Genomic DNA, 22288 nt, shown 5'->3' on the forward strand with positions numbered 1-22288 from the left:
AGATGTACAATTTGAGAATTCTAATTCAAGAAATACAGCTTCCAGAGGATCCTTTAGGATCTATGTTCTTATTGCACATGGCTCAGCCCGTCTAGGGACATCTACCAAGACCAGATGGTCGGGGCGTGGGGGCAGAGCACCGGGGCCACAGTGGGTAGGCACTCTGGCCACATCAGTTCTTATAATCTCTCTGGGCTGAAGTGGCTGCTTCATTGCAGGGTTGGACCTTGTTTAAAAACCAGATTTGACATTTCCTTACCGAACTTCCTTTCCCAGCAAGAATCCTATTTGTTGGGGGACTTTTAAAAAAAGAGCCGAGAGAAACTCTGGGAGGGTGGTTATCACCTCCTGGCTGGCAGCTTGGGGAAGTAAGGCTTTGGAAGACGGCGGGCGCAATGACACACCCACCGCCACAGGAAAACATGGTCATTCCAGAAGGCCCAGGAGAAACTGTGGGAATAAATAAAACCTCCCTCCTCCCACTGGCGGCAAGTGCTGTTTTAAGCAAAATCCTCATTTCAATGTGAGGGTAAGAAAACTATTCTGGTTCAGGTGTATCCTTTGTCCAAGGTACGAGAGGAGGCCTGGCGGTCACATCAACAGCGAGTGAAGACAGAGGCAGCCACGGGCACTGCCTTTTCTTCAGGAGTCGAGGAGGCTGCCCTGGGGTCCCGGCACCACTGACTGACTCGGAGGAAGAACTTTCTGAAGTCCTTGGTGCATGACTTAGGAAAAACCAGTGGCAATGATGGAGCTGTGCCCTGTGGCACCTATAAGGCAAAGCCCACTGAGGGACTTAGGGGTGGGGAAATGGTTAGGTAGATCCTGGCCCCCTCTGCAGGCCTTCCCTTCTGTGGGCAGGGGGCTGGAGGGCTCCTGGGCACCAGGACAAAGAGCCCACCAGCGCTGCTGAGAGGGGAGAGGTGGTCTCACCCAAGCAGGTCCTTGTGGGGCCTCTACTGTGACTCAATACTGACCTGGCACCTGCCTCCATGGCCTGCTCCTCTCCAGGTTAACCATAATCCTGAGGCCTTCGCGGGTTCACACTATCATGATTACTGCTGCCATCAAAACCAGGCTGGGGTTTCGGGGGGCTGTGAAAAGCTCTGATGCGACTCTCCTTATGCTGTCAGCTACAGCTAATGTCTAGCAAAAACATCACCAGGGTACCTTCCCCAAACAGGCCTCATTTTCTAAAACATGGAAGAAATCAGCTCAACAACTTAACCAAATCCCTGCAGAGTTTAAAAAGTAGACTATATATATATATATCTTCATATATGCCTATTTACATATAAATAGATATATATACATATACACGCATCTATAAATTACATTCTATGGAGAGTTCTCTTTCTTCCTCCTATCTTTGGCCAGGGCCTCTGGCTTCTCCTGAGAGGTGGCTGGTGGTGGCTCCTGTGAGGGAGGAAAGGCAGCTGGGTGCCCCCTCCCCCAGCCCTTCCCACTGATATCTGCTGCGAGTTTTACATTCTACTTTCGTTGCCATGGTTTCTGTATCCTAGGAGAGAGGCGATGCGGAGCCTCCGCCAGCCCTGCGAGGGAGGGAAGCAGCCCCATGGCAGGTTTTCTGTCTGTCCTAAGAGCTTTCTGCATTTACTGGGTGAGAGAGAGGGCAGCTGTGCAGCGTTCGGCCTCCAATTCCATTTTAATTTTGTTTCTTTGTTTGTCTTTCCTCAAATATACAGTCCATCACCTTGGCTCAGTGCATGTCACCAAAAATTCTCCAGGGATTTCATAGTCTGGGGAGGAGAGTGGCAACAGTTAGCTCGGCATTCAGGCGGCACCGGCTCCTCTAGCTTATGCCACACAAGTAGCCCCCCTTGCCACTGCACCGCTGCACCGTGCTGCCCGCTCGACCCCCACCAACCCCACTTGCGGCCTGCCCTCCTGCGGCAGCACAGAGGCAGGCACAAATGGCCTCCAGGCAGAGTCAGCCATGGATCCAGGCCGGGAGGACACAGGCAAAGGAGGGGGTGGGCAGGGCACCCACACAGAGAAGAACCTTCACTGCTTCTGCCCACACTTCTCTGGGCTTGGCTGAAGTGGCCACCTCTGGCAAACGCTGGGAACAGAGCCCAGCGCCCCCATTCGCCGGGCTGCAGAAGGAGGGAGCCTGCTACCAGCAACTCTCATTTCCCCTCCACCCCTCCTGTGCTGAGCGGCTGCGTCTGACCCTGAACTCATGACCTTCTGTTCCCTTCCTCAGACCGCAGGCGAGATGCCTGGGCAAGGCCGGATGCCTGTGGCTTCCAGGCTGCCAGGTGTGACGGCATTCGAGAGAGTGCCTCAGATCCCACCAGAGGGGGGTGGTCAGGGCCCGCGGCCCCTGCCGCCACCAAGACTGCCAGCTCCCACCCACCTCGTGGCTGCCTGTTCATCTTGCTCCATTTCCTCCTAGCTGGAGGGATGGAGAAAGGGGAGGGCTCTTGGCCCACCTATTCCCACATGGTTCTTCCTGGTATCAGGCAGGCAGTGTGCATATGGGGCTCTCTTGGGCCCCACCATATGTGATGGCCTAAATACCAGGGCACGGACAATAGTCTGCTGTGCTGGAGAAAGGGCCGTGCTGACTGATGGCTGGAGTGGACCAAGAAGCCCCGGGTGGCCCTCAGCAACAGTTTCAAGTTCCCACTCTGCCTGGTTCTGGGGTCCCCCACACCCCTGGAGCCAGGGAGCAGAGCGGAGGAGTGGGGAGGACAGCATCGCTAGAGGGCGGAAACCGACCTTGGTTTCCCAGCAGGCCCCACAGCTGCTCGGTCTCTGGAGGCTGGAGGTCAGGCTGGGGACAGGAGTCTTTGCCACAATCACCAGGCTTCCTCCCTTTCTCCCCCTCCCTCCTCTGCTCATGACCAGGGCCAAAGCTGCCAGGAGTTGCAGGGTGGAGGCAGCCCTGGCTCATACTTGGACCTCGGTGGTGTGGCTGGCCCAGGACTATCCATGCAGGGAGGCCTGCACCTCTGACAGTCGGCTGCAGCTGGGGGTGCCCATCTTCTGTGCTCTGTGGTACATATCTGTGTCGCCAAAGTAGCGTGCCCGGTACAGCAAGCCTTCCTCTGCAAAGCAATGGGACAGGGTTAGTGCACACCCAGTACCTCCCGAAGCCTGCAAGGAAGCCTGCGAGGGCTGTGGAGGGCGGAGGAAAGCTGGTACATGCCCGGGGCTTGGGCAGGGCTGGCCTCCCATTAGGAAGACCATGGAGGAGCAGAGACTACAGTCCTTATGTGGGCGAGGGTGACAGAGGCGCCTTTCTCTAGAATGCAGTGAGGCCAGCCAAGGTGAGACCCTGTCATCCTGGTCAGGCCTCCCCAGGGTCCCACAGACAGATCCAGGAGCACAGTCAGGGGGTGGCCAGGGATCCATCCGCTCCAGTCCATCTCTACACACTCACCTCTGGCAGCCAACATGCTGGGCTGATGGCAGTGATTTACGGGAACCTGAGGAAACTACCAGGTGGCCCCTGGCTCCCAGCCCCGGAGAAACACAGGAGTGGAGACCAGCTCTTGTCTGGGAGGTGGCTGGTGCAGGGCAGTGCCAGGGGCTGGGCCCTCAGAGCACAGGGTGAGCAGGGCTCTCTCCTTCCCCTGCTTTCCAGCTTCATCCCAAGCCACCTCCCAAATACAGCCCCCGCCTTCCCCCCACACTCACTCTGCTGCTTCTCCTTCCAGCAGTTGTTCCGGAGGTTGGCGATATAATCATCTTCCACATTCCGCTCGACTGTTTTGAGGCTGGAGCCTGTGTACTCTTCGGAGAAAGTGTCTCCCACATAGTAGACGACACCCAGGTGGTCAGTGACTCGCCTGTGGATGTGGCCCACGGACCTGGCCAGAAATACCAGGTTCAAAGTGGGTGCGGGTCCCCATGCCCAGGGCACTCTAGGGGTATGGGCCCCAAGACAGGAGGTGCCGCACAGACCAGAGGAGTAGTTGGTTCCCTCTCAAACCAGAGCAGGGACCCGCACACTCCCTGAAAGGAGAGTCTGAGGAAAAGGCAGCGTCCTCCCACACACGTGGCCCAGACCGCAGGACGCCCTGCCTTTAGATCCCTGCTTACCACACTGCTGACCTGGGGCCTTTGGGGAGAGGCCTGGTCTAGGGAACTGGAGACCTGAGAGGGAATCTGGGCTCTGCCTCTGTGCCTCCATCTCCCCATTCATCCCCTAAGCCAATTGTTGCTGAGTGCTTGCCTGCCTATCTAGGAGTTCCCAGTGTAGGGTTAAGAGGCTTAGGAACAAAATGACAGGAAGGGCTCCAGGGAGCCTTATCCTCCCAGCTCCAATCACAGGCTCTGTCAGCTGTGGGAAGAGCCTTGACACCCAGACAGGACCAGTGCTCTGGGGACAACAGTCCCTGCCCTAGTCCTCTGCTCCTCACATCTCTCCAGTTGCAGGGAAAAGGGCTGGCATCTGGCCACAGGGAGCCTGAGCCGGCGGCCAGGGTCCAGTGGACCGACTCTGCCCCCTGCTGGCTGAGAAGGGTCCTGCCAGCTCCCAGCCAGAGGTGGCCACCTTTTGGGAGAGGGGGACCCACCCCACTGAAGATGTGCACCCACTGTGTAGCTGACCCTGGGCCAGGTGCTGGACATCAGTGAGGGGAGCTGACCCCCTAACGGCTCATGAAATGTCCTCAAGTTCACTCCTGGCAGTCGAGACTAAGCATTCATTAAACTAATATTGTTGAGCATTTCTAGTGGGCCAGACATTTTATATGCATTACTCATTAATTTCCACAGCAGGTGGATGTTATAATTCCCATTTTATAGATGAGGAAACCAAGGTTATATAACTTGTTTAGGGTCACACAGCTTCTTAGTGGAGAAGCTGGGATTCTAAGCCATGCTTGCTCTGTCTGACTCTAGTGCCCTGTTCTTTCCACAGCCTCAGGAAGCCCAACCAGAGCCGAGGAGCAGAGGTTCTTCGTCAGGGTTGGCAGGGGAGATGGGCAGGGAAGAGTCACAAAGCCGCCGAAATTATATGCAAAACTCTGTGTGTATATGTGTGCGTGTATGTGTGCATGTGTATTATGTGTGTGCATGTATTGTGTGTGTGTGTACATGTGTATCGTGTGTGTGTATGTGTGTGTGCACATGTGTGCATAGTTTTAGGGAAAAGTTCTGTAGCTCTCGCTGCAATTTCTTAGGGGACCATAATCCTAAAAAGCTTAAGAGTCCTAGTTGAATAGAGAAAGTATATTTTCTTGATTCGAAGCCAGGTTTCTGCATTATGATCGCACACTGGCTGGATCAGGATGGGAAAGAAGGCCCCTGATGGGGCTGAGAATTTAAAGCCCCTTGTCTGCCCATGGCCCGGCCTCACCCATGTACTCACGGTCTTGGACTCAGACTGTAGGGTGGACTGGAGACCATGAGCTGGCTGAGAGCTGACACGAGAATCAGGATGAGGATAGGCATCAGCTGCACAAACACCCCTAGCCCGCCCTGGAGGGAAGAGCCAATGTCACTCTGCTGGACCTGGGTGGGGTGTGGTGTCAGCCATAATCACCACTAGCTCCCCTAGAATAGTGGAGCCTGGGGAGACATGACACCACTCTGCCGTTCCCTCCACGAGGCTCCAAAACACAGACGCTCCTTCACCTGCCAGCTTTCCCAGATAAAAACAAAGCAGCAACTGGTGTGAAATACAGGAGGAAGTGAGGTGTCTGCATTTACTTTTGACAGAATGCCAAAAAAAAAAAAAAATCAGCAAAAGTTGCTTCCTCCAGGAGAATGGAAGGCAGGGCTGGAAGGAGACATGCAGTATATACAAGTTTTTGAGATGTGAACCACACAAATATATTACCAATTTAAACATTATGGCCAGTGTGGCGGCTCATGCCTGTAATCCCAACACTTTGGGAGACCAACATGAGAGGAACACGTGAGGCCAGGAGTTCAAGACCAGTCTGGCCAACATACACCCCCATCTCTACAAAAAATAATAATTAAAACAAAATAAAAATTAGAAATAGCACTGGTTCTAGGGTGCAGAAAAAGCAAACAAACAAAAAAAGAAGAATTAGAAATAAAAATTAACAAATATATTCACTGTGTGATAATCTGTGATGTTAAACTCTTCTGTTGTTAGATACAAAATAAAAAAATTTTGATCAGGGGCAATGGCTCATGCCTGTAATCCCAGCACTGTGGGAGGCTGAGGCAGGAGGACCACTTGAGCCCAAGAGTTTGAGACCAGCCTGTGCTCAAACAGCAAAGTAAGACCCTATCTCTACAAAAAATACAAAAAATTAGCTGGGTGTGGTGGTGTGGGCCTGTGGTCCCAGCTACTGGGGAGCCTGAGGTGGGAGCTTTGCCTGGGAGGGGAGGCTCCTGCACTCTAGCCAGGGTGACAGAACGAGACCCTGTCTCAAAAAAAAAAAAAAAAGGCCGGCATGGTGGCTCACGCCTGTAATCCCAGCACTTTGGGAGGAAGGGGCAGGCAGATCACGAGGTCAGGAGTTCGAGACCAGCCTGGCCAACATGGTGAAACCCCGTCTCTACTAAAAATACAAAAATTAGCTGGGTGTGGTGGCGGGCGCCTGTACTCCCAGCTACGTAGGAGCCTGAGACAGGAGAATCACTTGAACCTGGGAGGCAGAGGTTGCAGTGAGCCAAGATTGTGCCACTGCACTCCGGCATGGGCAACAGAGCGAGACTCCATCTCAAAAAATTAAAAAAAAAAAAAATTGAATAAATATTGTCAGAGCAAAAGGAAACCCCTTCCGCCTGGCCAGAATTTAAAATGTTTTGCAATTGTCCACAATATTTTAATTTTAGCCAGCTAGCTGTTCTTTGATCTGTGGCATACAAAATGTGTTTGAAGCACTGTCTAGTTATAATTTTTATACTTTTTTTTTTTTTTGAGACGGAGTCTTGCTCTGTTGCCTAGGATGGAGTGCAGTGGCACGATCTCGGCTCAACACAACCTCTGCCTCCTGGGTTCAAGTGATTCTCATGCCTCAGCTTCCCGAGTAGGGATTAAAGGCGCCTGCCACTACGCCCAGCTAATTTTTGTATGTTTAGTAGAGACGGGGTTTCACCATGTTGGCCAGACTGCTCTCAAACTCCTGACCTCAGGTGATCTACCCACCTTGGCCTCCCAAATTTTTGTAAATATCTTTTTAAAAGTATCTTTTGGCTTTTTAGCAAGAAGAGTCGGCACCTATGTTGTCATCCTTTAAAATTCTCTCAGTGGCAGAGCGCAGTGGCTCACGCCCATAATCCCAGCACTTTGGGAGGCTGAGGCGGGTGAATCACCAGAGGTCAGGAGTTCAAGGCCAGCCTGGCCAACATGGTGAAACCCCATCTCTACTAAAAATACAAAATTAGCCGGGGGTGGTGGCACGCACCCGTAATCCCAGTTACTCGGGAGGCTGAGGCAGGAGAATGGCTTGAACCCGGGAGGCGGAGGTTGCAGTGAGCCGAGATCGCGCCACTGCACTCAGCCTGGGCGAGAGAGCAAGACTCCATCTCAATTAAAAAAAAAGAAATTTCTCTCACAAAGTTGAGAGAAAATAGCTGAGACCCATGAAAAAAATGAAAAATAAAATAAAATTCTCTCACAAAGTGTAACTTTCCATTGCTTAGAGGATGTCACTTTGGCCTTACCAGCGAGCGGTCTGCATGGGAGCCTCACACTCAAACCTGGCTGTGGGTGGGGTTTCTGGTTCCACTCCCCAGCCAGGCCAGCAAAGCCGCGCTCCCGCCGGCAATGTGGAGCATGGCTCCCTCGTGTGGCGCCCTCTGGTGTCACTCAGCAGAATGGCAAGGGAGGCCCAGAGGGCTCCTTGGCTGAGAGTTATGGGGACTCTGCTGGTCCCAGAATGGACAGTGTGGGAGGGAACACCCTCCTCCAAGCCCCCTCCCTGGGGTGGATTTGGTGCCCTTCCCGCGCTGTCCCTGGCGCCCTCCTCACTCACATCACCCTGGTTGTCCCTGCGGTCCTGCCTTTGCTGGTAGGTATAGCGCATGCGGCCGTTGCTGTAGACGTGGACGTTACCTGGGGGTCAGAGGGGCTGAGTCAGGAGCCAGGTCTGTTGGGAAAGGGAGAGGCTGGCATGCCATTCCCACCATCACCCCAGGGATACCTGGCTGTGGGGAGGGTGGGGAACTTACTAGAAGGGAAGCCGCCGCCAAAGAACATGTTGAAGAGGTCTTCAGGGGAGATGTCGGCCTCAAAGCCACGGTGGAAATCCCCATGCCCATGGCCGTGCCGGGCCGCCTGGCTCTTGTCATCGCCGAACTGGTCATACTGCTTCCTCTTCTCCGGGTTGCTGAGTACCGCATATGCTGTGCCAATGGCTGGAGAGGAGGAGGAAAGGTCAGGCCTGAGGATCCTGGGGTGCGGGGGGAGGCTCCCATGGCAGCCGAGTGCTCACTTTTCTCAGGTACTCAAGCAGTGCTTTAGGAAGCAGACGTCCTTGGGGTGGGCAGGAAGCTTGGCCAGTGTAAGGAGGGGGCATGCAGGAAGACCCCTCAGTGGATCTGGGCAGCCTGGCTGGGTGGAGGGTAACACAGGCTCCTTGTTCTCCTCAAGACAATGGTCAAGCTTTGTCAATGTGCCAGGCCTCCTAGGAGTGTGGCCTCATTTACTTCTTTTTGTTTGTTTATTTTATTTTTTGAGGCAGGGCCTCACTCTGTCACCCAAGCTGAGTGCAGTGGAGCAACCGTGGCTCACTGCAGTCTCAACTTCCTTTGCTCAAGCGATCCTCCCACCTCAGCCTCCTGAGTAGCTGGGACTACAGGCGTGAACCACCACACTCAGCTAATTTTTTGTATTTTTTGTAGAGATGAGGTCTTGCCAAGTTGCCCAGGCTGGTCTCAAACTCCTGGGCTCAAGGGATCCTCCCACCTTGGCCTCCCAAAGTGCTGGGATTATAGACATAAGCCACCACACCAGGTCAACTCATTTACCTCTAAGAGCAACCCTATCTCCATTTCACCAATGAGAAAACTGAGGCTCAGAGAAGTGACTGCCTAAGCTTACACAGCTTTAATATGTTACAGAGCTGGGAGTCAAACAAAAGCAGGTGTCTCTTGCTTCAAGTTCTCTCTCCGACTTTATGAAAACCACCAAAAACCTCTTTCCTCATTCTCTCTTGACGTGCCCAATAGGATGGGCATCCCTTTCTGGAGGTTCTGTAAACCTGAAGTCATAGTCTGACATGCAGGCCAGACAGACACACAATATCCTTATTGTGAACTGGAAAGCAGCAGGAGCTGTGGGGAAGGGCCAAATCTCGGGGCTCTATGGAGACTCCTCCACTTCTGGTGATGCAGCTGGGGTGAGTCCCCCACTCTCTGGGGTCCAGGCCCCAACCGTTATTTCCTATCTGGGCCTGGAGCCTCCCACCAGGGCCCCCTAGCCGGGACGGCTGTGCCCTGAAGGACCCCAGCTCTGACCTCCTCAGTCTCTCACTCCCTCTCCTCAAGCTGCCACTGACTCCGAGGAGTGGGTCCAAGCCACATCTGATTCCCATCCTGAAACCCCCGGGAATAAGGAGCGCGGAATCGTCTCCTCCGCCAATTCTGAATAGGCCTCAAGGCCAGAGCTGGCCTCTCGGTACAGTCGGAGCAGGCTGCAGGCAGAGGCTGGGGCTGGAGAAACATTCAACAGGGCTACCTTGCTTCCCCCCACTCCCACTCTCCTCCTCCAGGGCCCCGGGACACTGCACACCAGGTCTCGGAGTCTCCTCTGCCACAGGCTCTCCAGCTGGCTATGGTTGTGGGTGCAGCACAGCACACACCCCGCCCAGGCCAGTGGGGGCTAGTCACCATGCTATTTCCCAAGGAGGTGGATGAAGTGGGAATGAGAGAAGGAAGACATGGTGGGAATGAGAGAAGGCAGTAATGTTTGGGGCAATGAGAAATTGCAGTGCACAGAGTCAGTACACATGAGCGCCTGACAGGTTAAATGAAAATGTAATGAATAAAGGGCAGCTTACGATTTCAGCCAGAAATGAAGCACCCATCCTGAGCCAGTGGGCCCTGAAGCCAGAGACTGCCATGTCCCCACTGCAAGCCCCAGGTGTATAGGTATGGCGGGGGAGCTGGCTGTGGCTGCTGGTATTGAGGTGGCCACCAGGCCTGAGGCCCCCGACCTGGGGCTACCCTGCCCCTCAGCAGGGAAACAGTTACCCCAGTGGGCAGCTATGAGACTCTAAGACAGGGAAGCGCACACGGTGAGTCACTCAATCACTGAGAATCCTTGGAGAAGCTACTAGAACTTTCCTGCCTCAGCTCTACTACGTAACCCCAGGAAATGCAGAGGAAGCAGGGGCAGGAATGGTGCTATCTGAGCTCTGACCAACTCTACATAGCTAGAGGTGGCTACTAGAACCTTTTTCCCAAGAAGCAGCTCCCAAGCCTGGGCAACTTGGGCCCAAGGCCACTTCCTCCTGCTCCCTGCTTCCTGGGAAAGCTGTCTTGGTCCCTTACTCCCTGCCATGGACAGGAGATGAACACACCAAAATGCTAGGAAAGCAGGGCTGGCTTACCTTTGAAGGCTTCAGTGGCACCAGGTGCGTGGTTCTTGTCTGGGTGGAATTTGAGGGCCAGTCTGCGGTAGGCCTTCTTCAGGTCCTCATCCGAGGCCCCTCTGCTCACCCCCAGGATCTCATAGTAATCTTTACATTGCTTGACCCTGGGGAAGGAGGAGACCATGGTACGGGGTGCTCTACATGGGTCTGTGTGAGGGGGGCGATGAACAGGCCGTGTGGGGCGCACAGCTCTGGGCAGGCTGCGGGGGACCAACAGGGCAAGGCTGACAGCTCCTTGGGTCAGCTGTGTGACACCAGGGACAAGGGAGCCAAGTGGGCACCAAATGTGATGCAGAGCTGGGCAGGACCACGGGAAACAGAAGAACACCGTCTGGATTCTTGGATTTAGGAGGGCATCTGTGGGGTTCGCCAGGCCAGTATCTATCTTCCCCATGGGAAGAGCTCAGGAGGACTGTCGGTGTCCATCACCCAGGGTGGTGTCCCAAGCTCAGCCAACCGACTCTCCTGGCAATCTGAGTCTTTTTTTTTTTTTAATTTTTAAAAGTTTTTAAAATGTTAAATATTTAAAGATAGAGACAGGGTCTTCTAATTGCCCAGGCTGGTCTCAAACTCCTGGGCTCAAGGGATCCTCCTGTCTCAGCCCCCCAAAGTGCTAGGATGACAGGCATGAGCCACCATGCTCAGCCCAATCTGAGTCTTGAGTGGGTAACATGAAGGCCAGAAGTGGCAGGTGACTGTTCACCGCAAGCACAGGGCCTAAAGAGACCCTGGTTCTCTTTCACCAATTCTTCCTCTCCGCGTCCCTGGAGACCTCCTGGTTCTTGGCCGTTTCTAGGCCTTCCCAATCCCTCATACATCAGTTTCTATTGCCTACAATGGACCTTGCCGACTCAGTGAAGTACAGATCTCGCCTACACTTTTATGGCAAACAGCAGTCATGCTCAGTCTCACACAGGCGGCCTTGGTCCTGAAGCTTGCCAGGAGCTGTGGCATGACCCTGGGGGATTCCCAAGGCCAGCTGCTGGGAGACCTGGGGAGAAATGGGAGCTGGGAACGTCTAAGCCTGAGGAGCCTTGGCTGGGTGGTCTCTGGCCTGGTAGCGAGCTACTCTGCGTGGGGCCTGCTCACAGCCGTGGGGCAATAACTCTGCCTCTGGTCTCCATTCTACCCCACACAGGCTCTGATCTAAAAGGGTCTTTGTTGGGTGCTGGGATGTGGGTTGGGGTAGAATCTGGAGGGGGAGACAAAGCTCCATCTCTATTGACAAACAGAGCTGTGTAAAGAGGCCTGGGGCCTGCCTGGCCAGCGGCAGAGGAAGCCGGCAGTGTCAGCTTTTCCAGCCTCTGCTGTGGGTCGTGGCGGGAGGGGTGGTGGAGCCCCAGTTCCCACACTGTATTCCTGGGCCTTGAGGGAAATAAGGAGAGGTCCTGGTGAGCCTGGACCCTTGGACCTTCTCCATCCTCCAAGACCCTCCCAGGGCCCTGTGCTGCCCACAGGCAGATGGGAGGTGGAGGACATGCTCCAGGAAGCCTCTAGATTTCCCCAGTCTCCCCAGGCTCCAGCCCCTGCCCACCCATCTACCTTTTCACAGCTGCAACCTGTTCTGCAGTGTAGCCTTTGGTGCTCTCTCCTCCAGCTTCACCGTTGGCCGAGGGGGCATCGGTCCCACCTGCTTTCCTGTGGGTGGCATGGGTTGTGTCTGTGGGTGGGGGTTGGTCACCGGCAGTCTGTGGTTTCTGGTTGAGGGACTCAATCAGGGCTGTGCAAGGCAAGGAAACCATTCAGAGCTCCTGCTCAAGCAGGCTGCGTGCCTCGCCGAGCGGCCCGCTGCTTCCCACTCACTTCCCCTCCCAGCAAAGCCACCAGCTCCTGCCCTGATTAGGCCTGTGGGTGCTGGGGGGACAGTCATCTGCTCTCTTGAAAGCCATAGTCCTTAAGAGTAGGCAGGACAGGCCGGACGTGGTGGTTCACACCTGTAATCCCAGCATTTTGGGAGGCTGAGGCAGGCAGATCACCTGAGGTCAGGAGTTTGAGACCAGCCTGGCCAATGTGGTGAAATCCCGTCTGTACTAAAAATTAAAAAATTAGCCAGATGTGGTGGCGGGCGCCTGTAATTCCAGCTACTAGGGAGGCAGAGGTTGCAGTGAGCCAAGATGGTGCCACTGCAGTCCAGCCTGGGTGACAGAGTGAGACCCTGTCTCAAAAAAAAAAAAAAAAAAAAAATCCGGGCACAGTGGCTCACGCCTGTAATCCCAGCACTTTGGGAGGCTGAGGCGGGCGGATCACCTGAGATCAGGAGTTTGTGACCAGCCCGGCCAACATGGTGAAACTCCATCTCTACTAAAAATACAAAAAAAAAAACCCCAAAAGACATTTAGCTGGAGATAGTGGTGGGCGCCTGTAATCCCAGCTACTCGAGAGACTTGAGAGGCTGAGGCATGAGAATTGCTTGAACCCAGGAGGTGGAGATTAGCAAGATTGTGCCACTGCACTCCAGCCTGGGCGACAGAGCAAGGATCTGTCTCAAAAAAAAAAAAAAAAAAAAAGTAGGCAGGATAGAGGTCTTTTTCGTTTTACATGAACAAAATTAATTTTGTTAATAAAAATTGACATAAAATTCTACATAATTCATGGATAAATCTGTAGTAATTGCTTTATTTTTCAGATAGTATACTTATACATATATCTCTTTTCTTAATAAATTTAGGCAGAATTCTGATATTCTGATAGTCTTCCAAAAGCACACTTGGTTTTATTAATAAACCCTATAGTACTTTATTTAGAGTTATTTTTTTTTATTTGTTTGTTTATTTGAGATAGAGTCTCACTCTGTTGCCCAGGCTGGAGTGCAGTGGTGCGATCTCAGCTCACTACAACCTCTACCTCCCAGGTTCAAGTGATTCTCATGCCTCAGCCTCCTGAGTAGCTGGTACTACAGGCACGTGCCACCACGCCTGGCTAATTTTTTTTTTTTTGACACGGAGTCTTGCTCTGTTGCCCAGGCTGGAGTGCAGTGGCATGATCTTAGCTCACTGCAACCTCCGCCTCCTGGGTTCAAGCAATTCTCCCGCCTCAGCCTCCCTAGTAGCTGGGATTACAGGCGCCCAGCACCATGCCCAGCTAATTTTTGTATTTTAGTAGAGATGGGATATCAACACGTTGGCCAGACTGGTCTTGAACTCCTGACCTCAAGCAATCCACCCATCTCGGCCTCCCGAAGTGCTGGGATTACAGGTGTGAGCCACCGTGCCCGGCCTAATTTTTGTATTTTTAGTAGAGATGGGGTTTCACCATGTTGGCCAGGCTGGTCTCGAACTCCTGACCTCAAGTGATCTGCCCACCTCGGGTTCCCAAAGTGCTGGGATTACAGGCATGAGCCACCGTGCCTTGCTAGAGTTCATTTAATACTACTTTAATTGCTATTTCTTTCAGTGTATTTGGTTTTACTCTGCTTTTTGCTTTTATGAATCCAACTTATGAATCCATTTTTTTCTACTGAACTCATTCAAATCTGCAAATATGTTTGCATTGCACCACATTTTGAATAAGTAAAATATTCAGTCCACTGCACTACTCCCTATTTTTACCATTGGTTTTTTTTTTTTTTCTTTTTTGAGACGGAGTCTCACTCTGTTGCCCAGGCTGGAGTGCAATGGCATGATCTCAGCTCACTGCAACCTCTGCCTCCCGGTTTCAAGCGATTCTCCCGCCTCAGCCTCCTAAGTAGCTGGAATTACAGGTGCACACCACCACGCCGGCTAATTGTATTTTTAATAGAGATGAGGTTTCACCATGTTGGCCAGGCTGGTTTCGAACTCCTGACCTCAAGTGATCCGCCTGCCTTGGCCTCCCAAAGTGCTGGGATTACAGGCATGAGCCACTGTGCCCAGTCAACCCTTCAGATTTTTAAGATCTCAAAGTAGTGAGTTTAACAGACTTGGCATGTTGAGTGCCAAGCTGGGAAAAGTACCCTGCAAAGGGGACCCCGCTTAGCAGGACCCTCTGTTTCAGGTGGGATCAGTCAGGAAGCCTTCCTGGAGGCCTTTGCTTAGCTGTAAAGAGGAATGGGGGAAATGAGTTTGCCCAAGGGGGACACAGATGGTAGGAGACCAAAAGAAGTATCTGCTGTGCTCACAACTTGCTATTTTTCACATTTTTCTAATGCAAGTGGTTGGCCATGCCAAATGTCCTCTTCAATGTCTGGAGTCTATACAGGACATTAACTATCACCCTCGGCAGCATCATGGCTATTGAAAACCAAGCCCGGCTGGGCGCTGTGGCTCACGCCTGTAATCCCAACACTTTGGGAGGCCGAGGCGGGCGAATCACAAGGTCAGGAGTTCAAGACCAGCCTGGCCAACATGGTGAAACCCCGTCTCTACTAAAATACAAAAATTAGCCGAACATGGTGGTGGGCGCTTGTAATCCCAGCTACTAGGGAGGCTGAGGCAGCAGGATGGCTTGAATCTGGGAGGCGGAGGTTGCAATGAGCCGAAATCATGCCATTGCACTCCAGCCTGGGCAATAGAATGAGACTCTGTCTCAGAAAAACAAAAACAAAAACAACCAAGCCCACCAGGCATGGTGGCTCACACCTGTAATCCCAGCACTCTGGGAGGCTGAGGCGGGCAGATCGCCTGAGGTCAGGAGTTTGAGACCAGCCTGGCCAGCATGGTGAAACCCCGTCTCTACTAAAAATACAAAAATTAGCCGGCGTGGTGGCAGGCGCCTGTAATCCCAGCTACTCGGGAGGCTGAGGCACAGAATCGCTTGAACCCGGGAGGCAGAGGTTGCAGTGAACTGAGATTGTGCCACTGCACTCCAGCCTGGGCAACAGAGCAAGACTCCATCTCAAAAAAACAAAAGCAAGCAAAAACAAGCCTGTGGTTCCTGCAGATTAAATGAGGAAGGGCCCAAGTCTCTGGCAGCAGGTCCCTGTGTCCATTTATTCCAGGCACGAAACCTCAGTCAGGCCTGGGCCCCAGCGCCCTGGGTAGTAAAATCCTAAAGCCTCTGACAAGCTGACCAGCTGGGAAAACAGGCATCTGGATCACTGCAGGGACCCAGCATCCCTCTGTGCTAAGGAAGGACAGCAGCACATCCCAGCACATTCCTTCAAACACGCCAGGTGCCTGCTGGCCTGAAGACGCCATGCTGGGTGCCACACCCACCAGTGCGACCCACTGAGGTCTGACCCAACAGGCTGAGAGCCAGTCTCACTGGGAACAGAGTATGGGGCTCCAGTGGAGCACTGTGCCCTGGGCCACTGCTGCCGCACTCCGAGCTTGTGTGATCTTGCTGAGTCTTCAACTGGGAAATCCAAACACAGGAGCTCACAGCTGGGGTTGCTCTGAGTAAGGGAGGCGGGCTCCTGTAGCAAACCCTGAGAGGGTGCTTGGGGAGGAACAATAGCAACAATCATTTTTCTTACCCAGTGATGTGTGTCAGGTGGGTACTTTCACAGTGATCTGCATTAGCTCATTTAATTGTCACAGCAGCCTTAGAAGGAAGGTCTCATTACCTACCCCACCCCACTGTAGGAAGAGGGTACTGTGGCAGACTGCTGCCATGACCACACAGCTGGTTAGGAGGCAGAGGGGCCTTCGAACCCCAGGATGTCCAGCTCCAGGGTCCATGCTCTTAACTACGCTGCTATCCTGGGCTGCACGTGTCTGATGGGGTGGGGATCGGGGACAGGGATGCAAGCAAAAGCATAGAAGAGACATCAAATTCAGAAAGGCCCAGATTCAAATCTCAGCTCTGCCATTCCTAGCAGTGTGACCCTGGCTGATCTATGAAATCTCTCTGAACCCTGGTTTCGTCACGGTGGCGGAGGATGAAATGGGATAATGTGTGTAAGCACCTGTGCCGAGTCTGACAGAGAGTGAAGGTTCAAGGCTGATGAAGTGTCTGGCCACAGAAGTGGGCTGGCCAGGGAAGTGAGGGAACCTGTGGTGGGGGCTGGGGAGGAGGAGGGCTGGGTAGCGGGGGAGCTCCAAGGCTCAGGAAGGCAAAGACTCAGCGCTCAGCAGACTCTGGAACCAGTAGTAACCATGAGATTTCAGGCCATCCCAGATACCAGGTCCATGCCAGCTACCAAGGGGATGGCAAGAGAAACCGAAAGATGAAGAGATATTGGTCAAGGCGGGGCAGGAGGAGGAGGCAGTATGCTGTTTCCTAGAGCTTTTCAAGAAGCTCTTTATTATTTCAGTTCCTCTGGAAGTTCTGGTGGCCCAGGCTGAGCCTGGCAGATCCTAAGGGCAAAATAACCAGTTATTCAACTACCAGAGATGAGCAGGAGCACTAGCCAGGAGATGGGACAGGCTCTCTCTTGTACCTCTCAGAGAAGATTCTGGAAGCTTTTCAGGGCAGTTACAGGGAATCAGCCACTCTAATTTCCCTACAGTACAGAAAGAGAGCCCAAAGGAGAATGGGGGTGCCCTGGGTCACATAGAAGCTTTCTGCTTGAGTTGGAAATTAAAGATTTCCAGTTGCTGGCAAGTAGGGTCTCTCTTCTGGCCTGGGGGATGTGACAGCTTCATGCTTACATCCCTCATGGCACAGAGGCTGACAGGCAATGTCACAAAAAGAGACAGAACAGCTTAATGTTACCTTCTCAGTAAAGCTGGCAGACTTAGAAAAGGAAGGGAATTCGATAGAAGAGAACAGAGCTGCGGTGGAGAGGCACCTGAGGTAGAGCTGAGAGGATTTCTATGGCCAAAGCCACTGAACCCAGACTAGAGTTAGATTTGGCCGGGCAGTGGCTCACACCTGTCATCTCAGCACTTTAGGAGGCCAAGGCAGGAGAATGGATTGAGCTCAGGAGTTCGAGACCAGCCTTGGCAACACAGGAAGACCCTGTCTCTACGAAAATAAAAAAATTAGCCAGGTGTGGTGGCACATGCCTGTGGTCCCGGCTGTTTGGTAGGCTAAGGTGGGAGGATCACTTGGGCCTGGGTGGTTGAGGCTGCAGTGAGCTGTGATTGTGCCACTGCACTCCAGCCTGGGCAACAGAGTGAGACCCTGTCTCAAAAAAAAAAAAAAAAAAAAAAAAAAAAAGACTGCCCGATGGGTTCAAACCTAGCTCTGCCATTTGCTAGAAGGGTCATCTTGGACAAGGTAACTTAGCTCATCTGTGCAAAACTCTATCTCCATCATACAGGCTAAAAGAGGAAATGAGTGAATGCCAGCAAAAAACTCAGCCCAATGCCCAGCAAATATACAGTGTTGTCTCTGACCGTGACTTTGTTAGTAAGTGAGTAGCTGAGTTTCTGGGCTCTGTGTACCTACGGTGCTCACAGTGAGTCAGAAAAGGGCCTGGGATTGGAGATGGACAGCTCTGGGTCTTTGCTGGCTAGCCATGTGGCCTTGCCAGGTTAGCTGGTTCCTGAGTGGAGAGACGATCTCTGCTCTCATAGGAGTGCTCTGAGGGGTAAATAAGATTCTGTGAAATACAGTGAATGGAAGGGGGCTAAGTGCACAGTGGGGCTCATGAAGGTTGACTGACTTGAAGGGTACAACCCCACCCCGGACCTCGCCAGCACCAGAACATCTCTCACTCCTGGACTCTGAATGCAGAATCCCTCAGCAATCCGTCTCCTTTTCCTGTGGGCTGGCCTTCCCAGCTTGGCCTTCATGACTTAGCCCAGAGTCAACCATTTCACAGAACATTGGATAGCCTGAGCTGCAAGGAACCTCAGGATCATCCCAGCCAATCCTCTCTTTGTATGCTGGGGAAACTGAGGCCTACAAATGCTCTCGTGAGCTCCCTGGGAAATCTGGCACCTTCCACATTTGTTACAAAGCCTGAGTCAAAGCCAATGGCTTACCAGGCTGCCAGCTACTGGACAGAAACTCCCAGAAAGGGACTGACTGGCTCCACCATCTCTAGTCTGTGACCTCCCAGCTTAGGGCCCAGCTACTGCTTTGCAGTTTAACTCAGTGCCTCCTTGTCCCACCTCCTGCAGCAGGAGTTTCAAGCCCCCTCACATCCCTTTTTGCTGCAAAGGCCAACAGTGTGAGGTCCCTCATCCTTTCAAGGTTGCTCTGAGCCTCCCCTCTCTCGTGACTCTCCCCTCTCTGCCCTTCCACCTCTCCAAGACCATCCTCTGCCCATGCTCTCGATCCTTCCCTTTTCAACTCTTAACTTGTCCTTTTCCCATGCAGTGCCTGCGGCATCACACAGGGCTGCTCACCACCTGCTGCCATTACCTCTCCATGGCTACCTGGCCGCTGCCCTCTCCGGGGACTGCCTTTTCCTGTTGCTCCATCTCAATCTGTTGCTTCCTCTGCCTTTGCCTGTGGGCTCAGGGCAGGTGTTGCCTGCCATTGTGCCTGCAGCAACTTTCTCTCCATGGTCTATACTTTCCCACAGTGACCTCAGCCATGCACAACTCCAGTGAGCTCCAGGGAACAGACGATACCACACTTTCACCTGTAACCTGGAGCGCTCTCCTGAGTTCCAGGCTGACAGCTCCTTTGGACTATCCCACTGGCACCTCCCACTCTGCTCATCTCTTCCCATCTCAGTTCTTCAGCCTGGTTTCTTCCTGGTCACAGGGGCTTCAATTCTGATTCCCCAGCATCCCATCTGATTCTCCTCTGCACCTCTCTCTCACACAGGCCTGGTGCCTCTTTTCCAGGGACCTTAGCCTTATCCATGACTGCCTTGTCCCAGGCCCTCAGAATATCCAACCAGCTCAAGGCAATTCTCTCCTATTGGCTTCCTGCCCTGAAGCTCTCTTCCCTCTCATTAACCTTTCATGCTGTTCTCTTTTAACAACAGTGCCCGTACTTTATTCCTGCTATCAAAAACCTCAATGGTTTCCTCACTAACTACAGAATAAGGTGAAAATATCTTGGCCTGGTAGAAAAGGATTTCTATGATCTGGCCCCATTTTATTTCCCAAACTTAATCCTCTCTGTATACGAATTACCACCTCCACTGCCTCTAAATCTTGCTACACTTTGATCTCTTCCCCCAAACGTTACAACTTTCAGCTCCTTTGTCTTCTTCCAGGATGCCTTTCCTCAAGTCTCACACCGTCCTCCAAAGCACAATTCAAATGTTAACTCCTGTCATCCCCAAAGCATTCCCTCACTGTGAGATAACATTATTTTTATGCACTTGCTACAGCACTCACTAAACTGCTGATAATTTAATGTTCAGGAGATTGTCCTCCGCACCTCCTCCCCACCATCAGACTGTGAACCCATGGATGATGGGGCCTGATTTTTTCATGCCTGTCCTTAAGTCCTCAGCGTCTAACCTTGGGTTTATTTTTTGTTTAATTACAGTTCTGTCTTGTAATATTTGTTTCTGTAAGTTTTGTCTCTTTCACTAGATTATAAGCTCTTTTGAGGTGAGGGATCACATTTTACCAATCTTGCTAGCACCAAGCAGAGGACTTTGCAAACAAAACATAAATGATCTTCAACAAAAGTCTGCTGCATTGAATGAGCATCTGGGATGAGCCTAAACCCAAAGCAATAGACCGCCACCTAATATATCTGTATTACTCCCCCTGGGGAGGCAGGTAGCCAGCCCAGTGGGTAGCCCTGCCCTCTATTTTTGAAGTAAGATCTTTCCCTGTCCCAGACCTAAACTAATCCCAGGTCTTTGTCAGCTCAGTGGAGGGCTGCAGATGGTAAAGTTTACACGGATGCATAAGGCGTATAGTCTCATAGTCTTTCCAGAAAAGCACAAATATGACAAATATGCATGCAGGTGGTTCTTCTGTCTCAGCAAATTCCAGAGCCTGAGCCCCAGAGAGGACACTCCTTCAAGCTCCTGAACTGGTGCAGGGGCCTGCTGACAGAAAGATCCCCAGAGGCCCTGTGGCCCATCCTTTCTTGGCTGCCTGCTCCTGAGCCCGCAGCAGCATCAGTGTCAGGCAGAATTCTGACAGCTGGAGGATACCACCCCACCACAGAATATGAATTAATTCACAGGGAGGCTCCTCGAGCAGGTTACCTCAGGTGTCCTGGCAAATACAGCCCGAAACCCTCTCCAAGGGGAGGCAAACAGGCCAAAGATCAACCTGCAAGAGTCCGGAGGGAGGAAAGTTCAGCAGTCCAGGCTACCTCTTCCACCAGCGTTCCGCTTTCTCAATCTCATCAGGCGGGCAGGGCCGGTTAGGAGGCTGACTGCTGTTCCTCAATTTCATTTCTTTTCCTTCATAAACATTTACAGAGTCACAGAACATTTTACTTTCTAGCTGTGTCATCCTGGGCATCCCTTACCTCAGAGATTTTCCTCACCCATAGAATAAAGATAATGATCTTTGCTCTGCATCCCTGACTGGCAGGCTCAAGTGAGAAGGCACAGGTGAAGGAGCTTCCTAAACTGCAAAGCCCTATGGGTATTATTGCCAATCACATTATCTGCGCCAACCCTCTAATCTTCCCGAGGAGGAAACCCAAGCTCAGGAAGGTCACGTGGTAGCCGTCAGGATGAGACTGGGCCCTTCGGAGTGCCTGTTATTCCCAGACGGTTTACTGAGTGGTGATCACAAGCACCACCCGGTGTCTCTCTCCCCTCTAGCGTGGATTAAGAAAAACTCCTTGGAAAACTTAGGTTAAAGAAAAAAGAAAGGGTTCCCGGGTGAAGCGAGGTGATGAGTTGTAAAGCCAGCTTCACTCTTCCCTCCCTGGCTCAGGAGGCTCCTGTCCAGGGCAACTCAGCAGCCTCGGCGTCCACATGGCTGACCGCCGCTGGACTCTTGCGGGCGATGGAGGACTGGCGGTGGCTGAGGTCAGCACCTCCCACCAGGCCACCCGCTCCGAATCTCATCATCGGGAGGAGTGAGGGGCCCGGCTTCAGGACAGTCCGAGGCGGCGGACTGGGGTGGGTGCAAAGGCCGGCTTGCATTTTGGGAGAGTGGTCCCTGACCCTCAGCCCGAGAGGTGAGAGGGAGTGAAGATACGGAAGCGCCTTTCCCTGGCGCCCGAAGAACAGAAATGTCTCCCTGTCTAGCGCCCATTCTCTCCCTTAAAGGAGTTATGTTTATTTTCCTGAACTGTAATATTTCCCAGGCCGGCGACTGGCCTGGGCTACCGAACGGCCCCTTGGGAAAAGTAGTTCGAGTTCACTTCCAGGTAAGTTCCCTTCGTCCCGGCTGCCAGCGCGTTTCATTCTCGGAGACCTCAAACCCCAGCGGGCTCCGCCAGCACCCCGAAAGCTGAAGTCCCGGCCGCCCGAGTCTCCAGACGGCTCGCATCCCGCAGAGGAACAAGAGGGAAAAACTACGCCTCCCAGCAGCCACCGCGCGCCTCAGTGCGCAGGCGTAGCCGCGCCTCGCCACCCCTCCCCCTCCCCCAACTGCTCCCGTCGGTCCGTTCCCGTGTTCCCCCCATCAGTTCTAATGTCCCCAGTCTCTCCGGCACCTCACACTCACCGCGAACTCGCGGCGTCGGATACAGCCGCTGTGCCTTCTCCAGGAAGCGGAGCGCCCGGTCGGGCTGGTTGCTCTGGATGGCCTTGAGGGCGATGCTGATACAGCGCTCAGCTTCATCCTTGTTGGATTCCATGGCGGAACCAGAACGCGGAACCAGGGAGGGGGAGGCCGGGCGAGCGAAGGGCTGCGCCACCCGCCGGCGCGTCGCGGGCAGCCGGGCGCGGAGTGATGACATCCACCCTCCGCCCCTCCTTTCCCGAGTTTTGAGCGAGGGTGGAAGTGCTACCGTATGTCTTCTAAGAAAGGGACGGCTGGTGTAGGTGTCAATAATGGTGCACGCCCAGATTCCATGTTCCGGAGGTCTTAGAGTTGAGTATGCGC

General features: G+C 53.0%; 1 protein-coding gene across 5 annotated transcripts, besides 6 other annotated features; it reads right to left on the bottom strand.

The window, feature by feature from the left end:
* Nucleotides 1–5: 5 nt before the first annotated feature.
* On the bottom strand, nucleotides 6–22062 carry DNAJB12 (DnaJ heat shock protein family (Hsp40) member B12). Of its 5 annotated transcripts, none has more exons than NR_157570.3 (9): nucleotides 21908–22062; nucleotides 12093–12270; nucleotides 10509–10654; nucleotides 8128–8313; nucleotides 7932–8011; nucleotides 5345–5454; nucleotides 3667–3839; nucleotides 2746–3074; nucleotides 6–1760 (listed from the first exon to the last, which is right to left on the bottom strand). NR_157570.3 is itself a non-coding variant. In NM_001365080.3 (9 exons), the coding sequence occupies exons 1-9, from the start codon at nucleotides 22038–22040 to the stop codon at nucleotides 1731–1733; spliced, it is 1134 nt and encodes a 377-aa protein (NP_001352009.1). In that variant the 5' UTR covers nucleotides 22041–22062; the 3' UTR covers nucleotides 6–1730. The 5 variants fall into 5 exon arrangements, 4 of the variants coding, with proteins under 4 accessions (NP_001352009.1, NP_001352010.1, NP_060096.4 ...); NM_001365080.3 differs by having other exon boundaries at nucleotides 2977–3074; NM_001365081.3 differs by having other exon boundaries at nucleotides 2929–3074.
* Nucleotides 1960–2369: an enhancer, noted in NCBI's record as "active region_3544". NCBI's record gives its function as "activates an Ori minimal core promoter by ATAC-STARR-seq in GM12878 lymphoblastoid cells {active_cell/tissue: GM12878}" and the evidence as "EXISTENCE:reporter gene assay evidence [ECO:0000049][PMID:35858748]".
* Nucleotides 2930–3049: an enhancer, noted in NCBI's record as "active region_3545". NCBI's record gives its function as "activates an Ori minimal core promoter by ATAC-STARR-seq in GM12878 lymphoblastoid cells {active_cell/tissue: GM12878}" and the evidence as "EXISTENCE:reporter gene assay evidence [ECO:0000049][PMID:35858748]".
* Nucleotides 11951–12060: an enhancer, noted in NCBI's record as "active region_3546". NCBI's record gives its function as "activates an Ori minimal core promoter by ATAC-STARR-seq in GM12878 lymphoblastoid cells {active_cell/tissue: GM12878}" and the evidence as "EXISTENCE:reporter gene assay evidence [ECO:0000049][PMID:35858748]".
* Nucleotides 12131–12390: an enhancer, noted in NCBI's record as "active region_3547". NCBI's record gives its function as "activates an Ori minimal core promoter by ATAC-STARR-seq in GM12878 lymphoblastoid cells {active_cell/tissue: GM12878}" and the evidence as "EXISTENCE:reporter gene assay evidence [ECO:0000049][PMID:35858748]".
* Nucleotides 21519–21648: an enhancer, noted in NCBI's record as "active region_3548". NCBI's record gives its function as "activates an Ori minimal core promoter by ATAC-STARR-seq in GM12878 lymphoblastoid cells {active_cell/tissue: GM12878}" and the evidence as "EXISTENCE:reporter gene assay evidence [ECO:0000049][PMID:35858748]".
* Nucleotides 22039–22288: an enhancer, noted in NCBI's record as "active region_3549". NCBI's record gives its function as "activates an Ori minimal core promoter by ATAC-STARR-seq in GM12878 lymphoblastoid cells {active_cell/tissue: GM12878}" and the evidence as "EXISTENCE:reporter gene assay evidence [ECO:0000049][PMID:35858748]".

Source organism: Homo sapiens, chromosome 10 (assembly GCF_000001405.40).
Source record: "Homo sapiens chromosome 10, GRCh38.p14 Primary Assembly".
NCBI classification, from domain to species: Eukaryota; Metazoa; Chordata; class Mammalia; order Primates; family Hominidae; genus Homo; species Homo sapiens.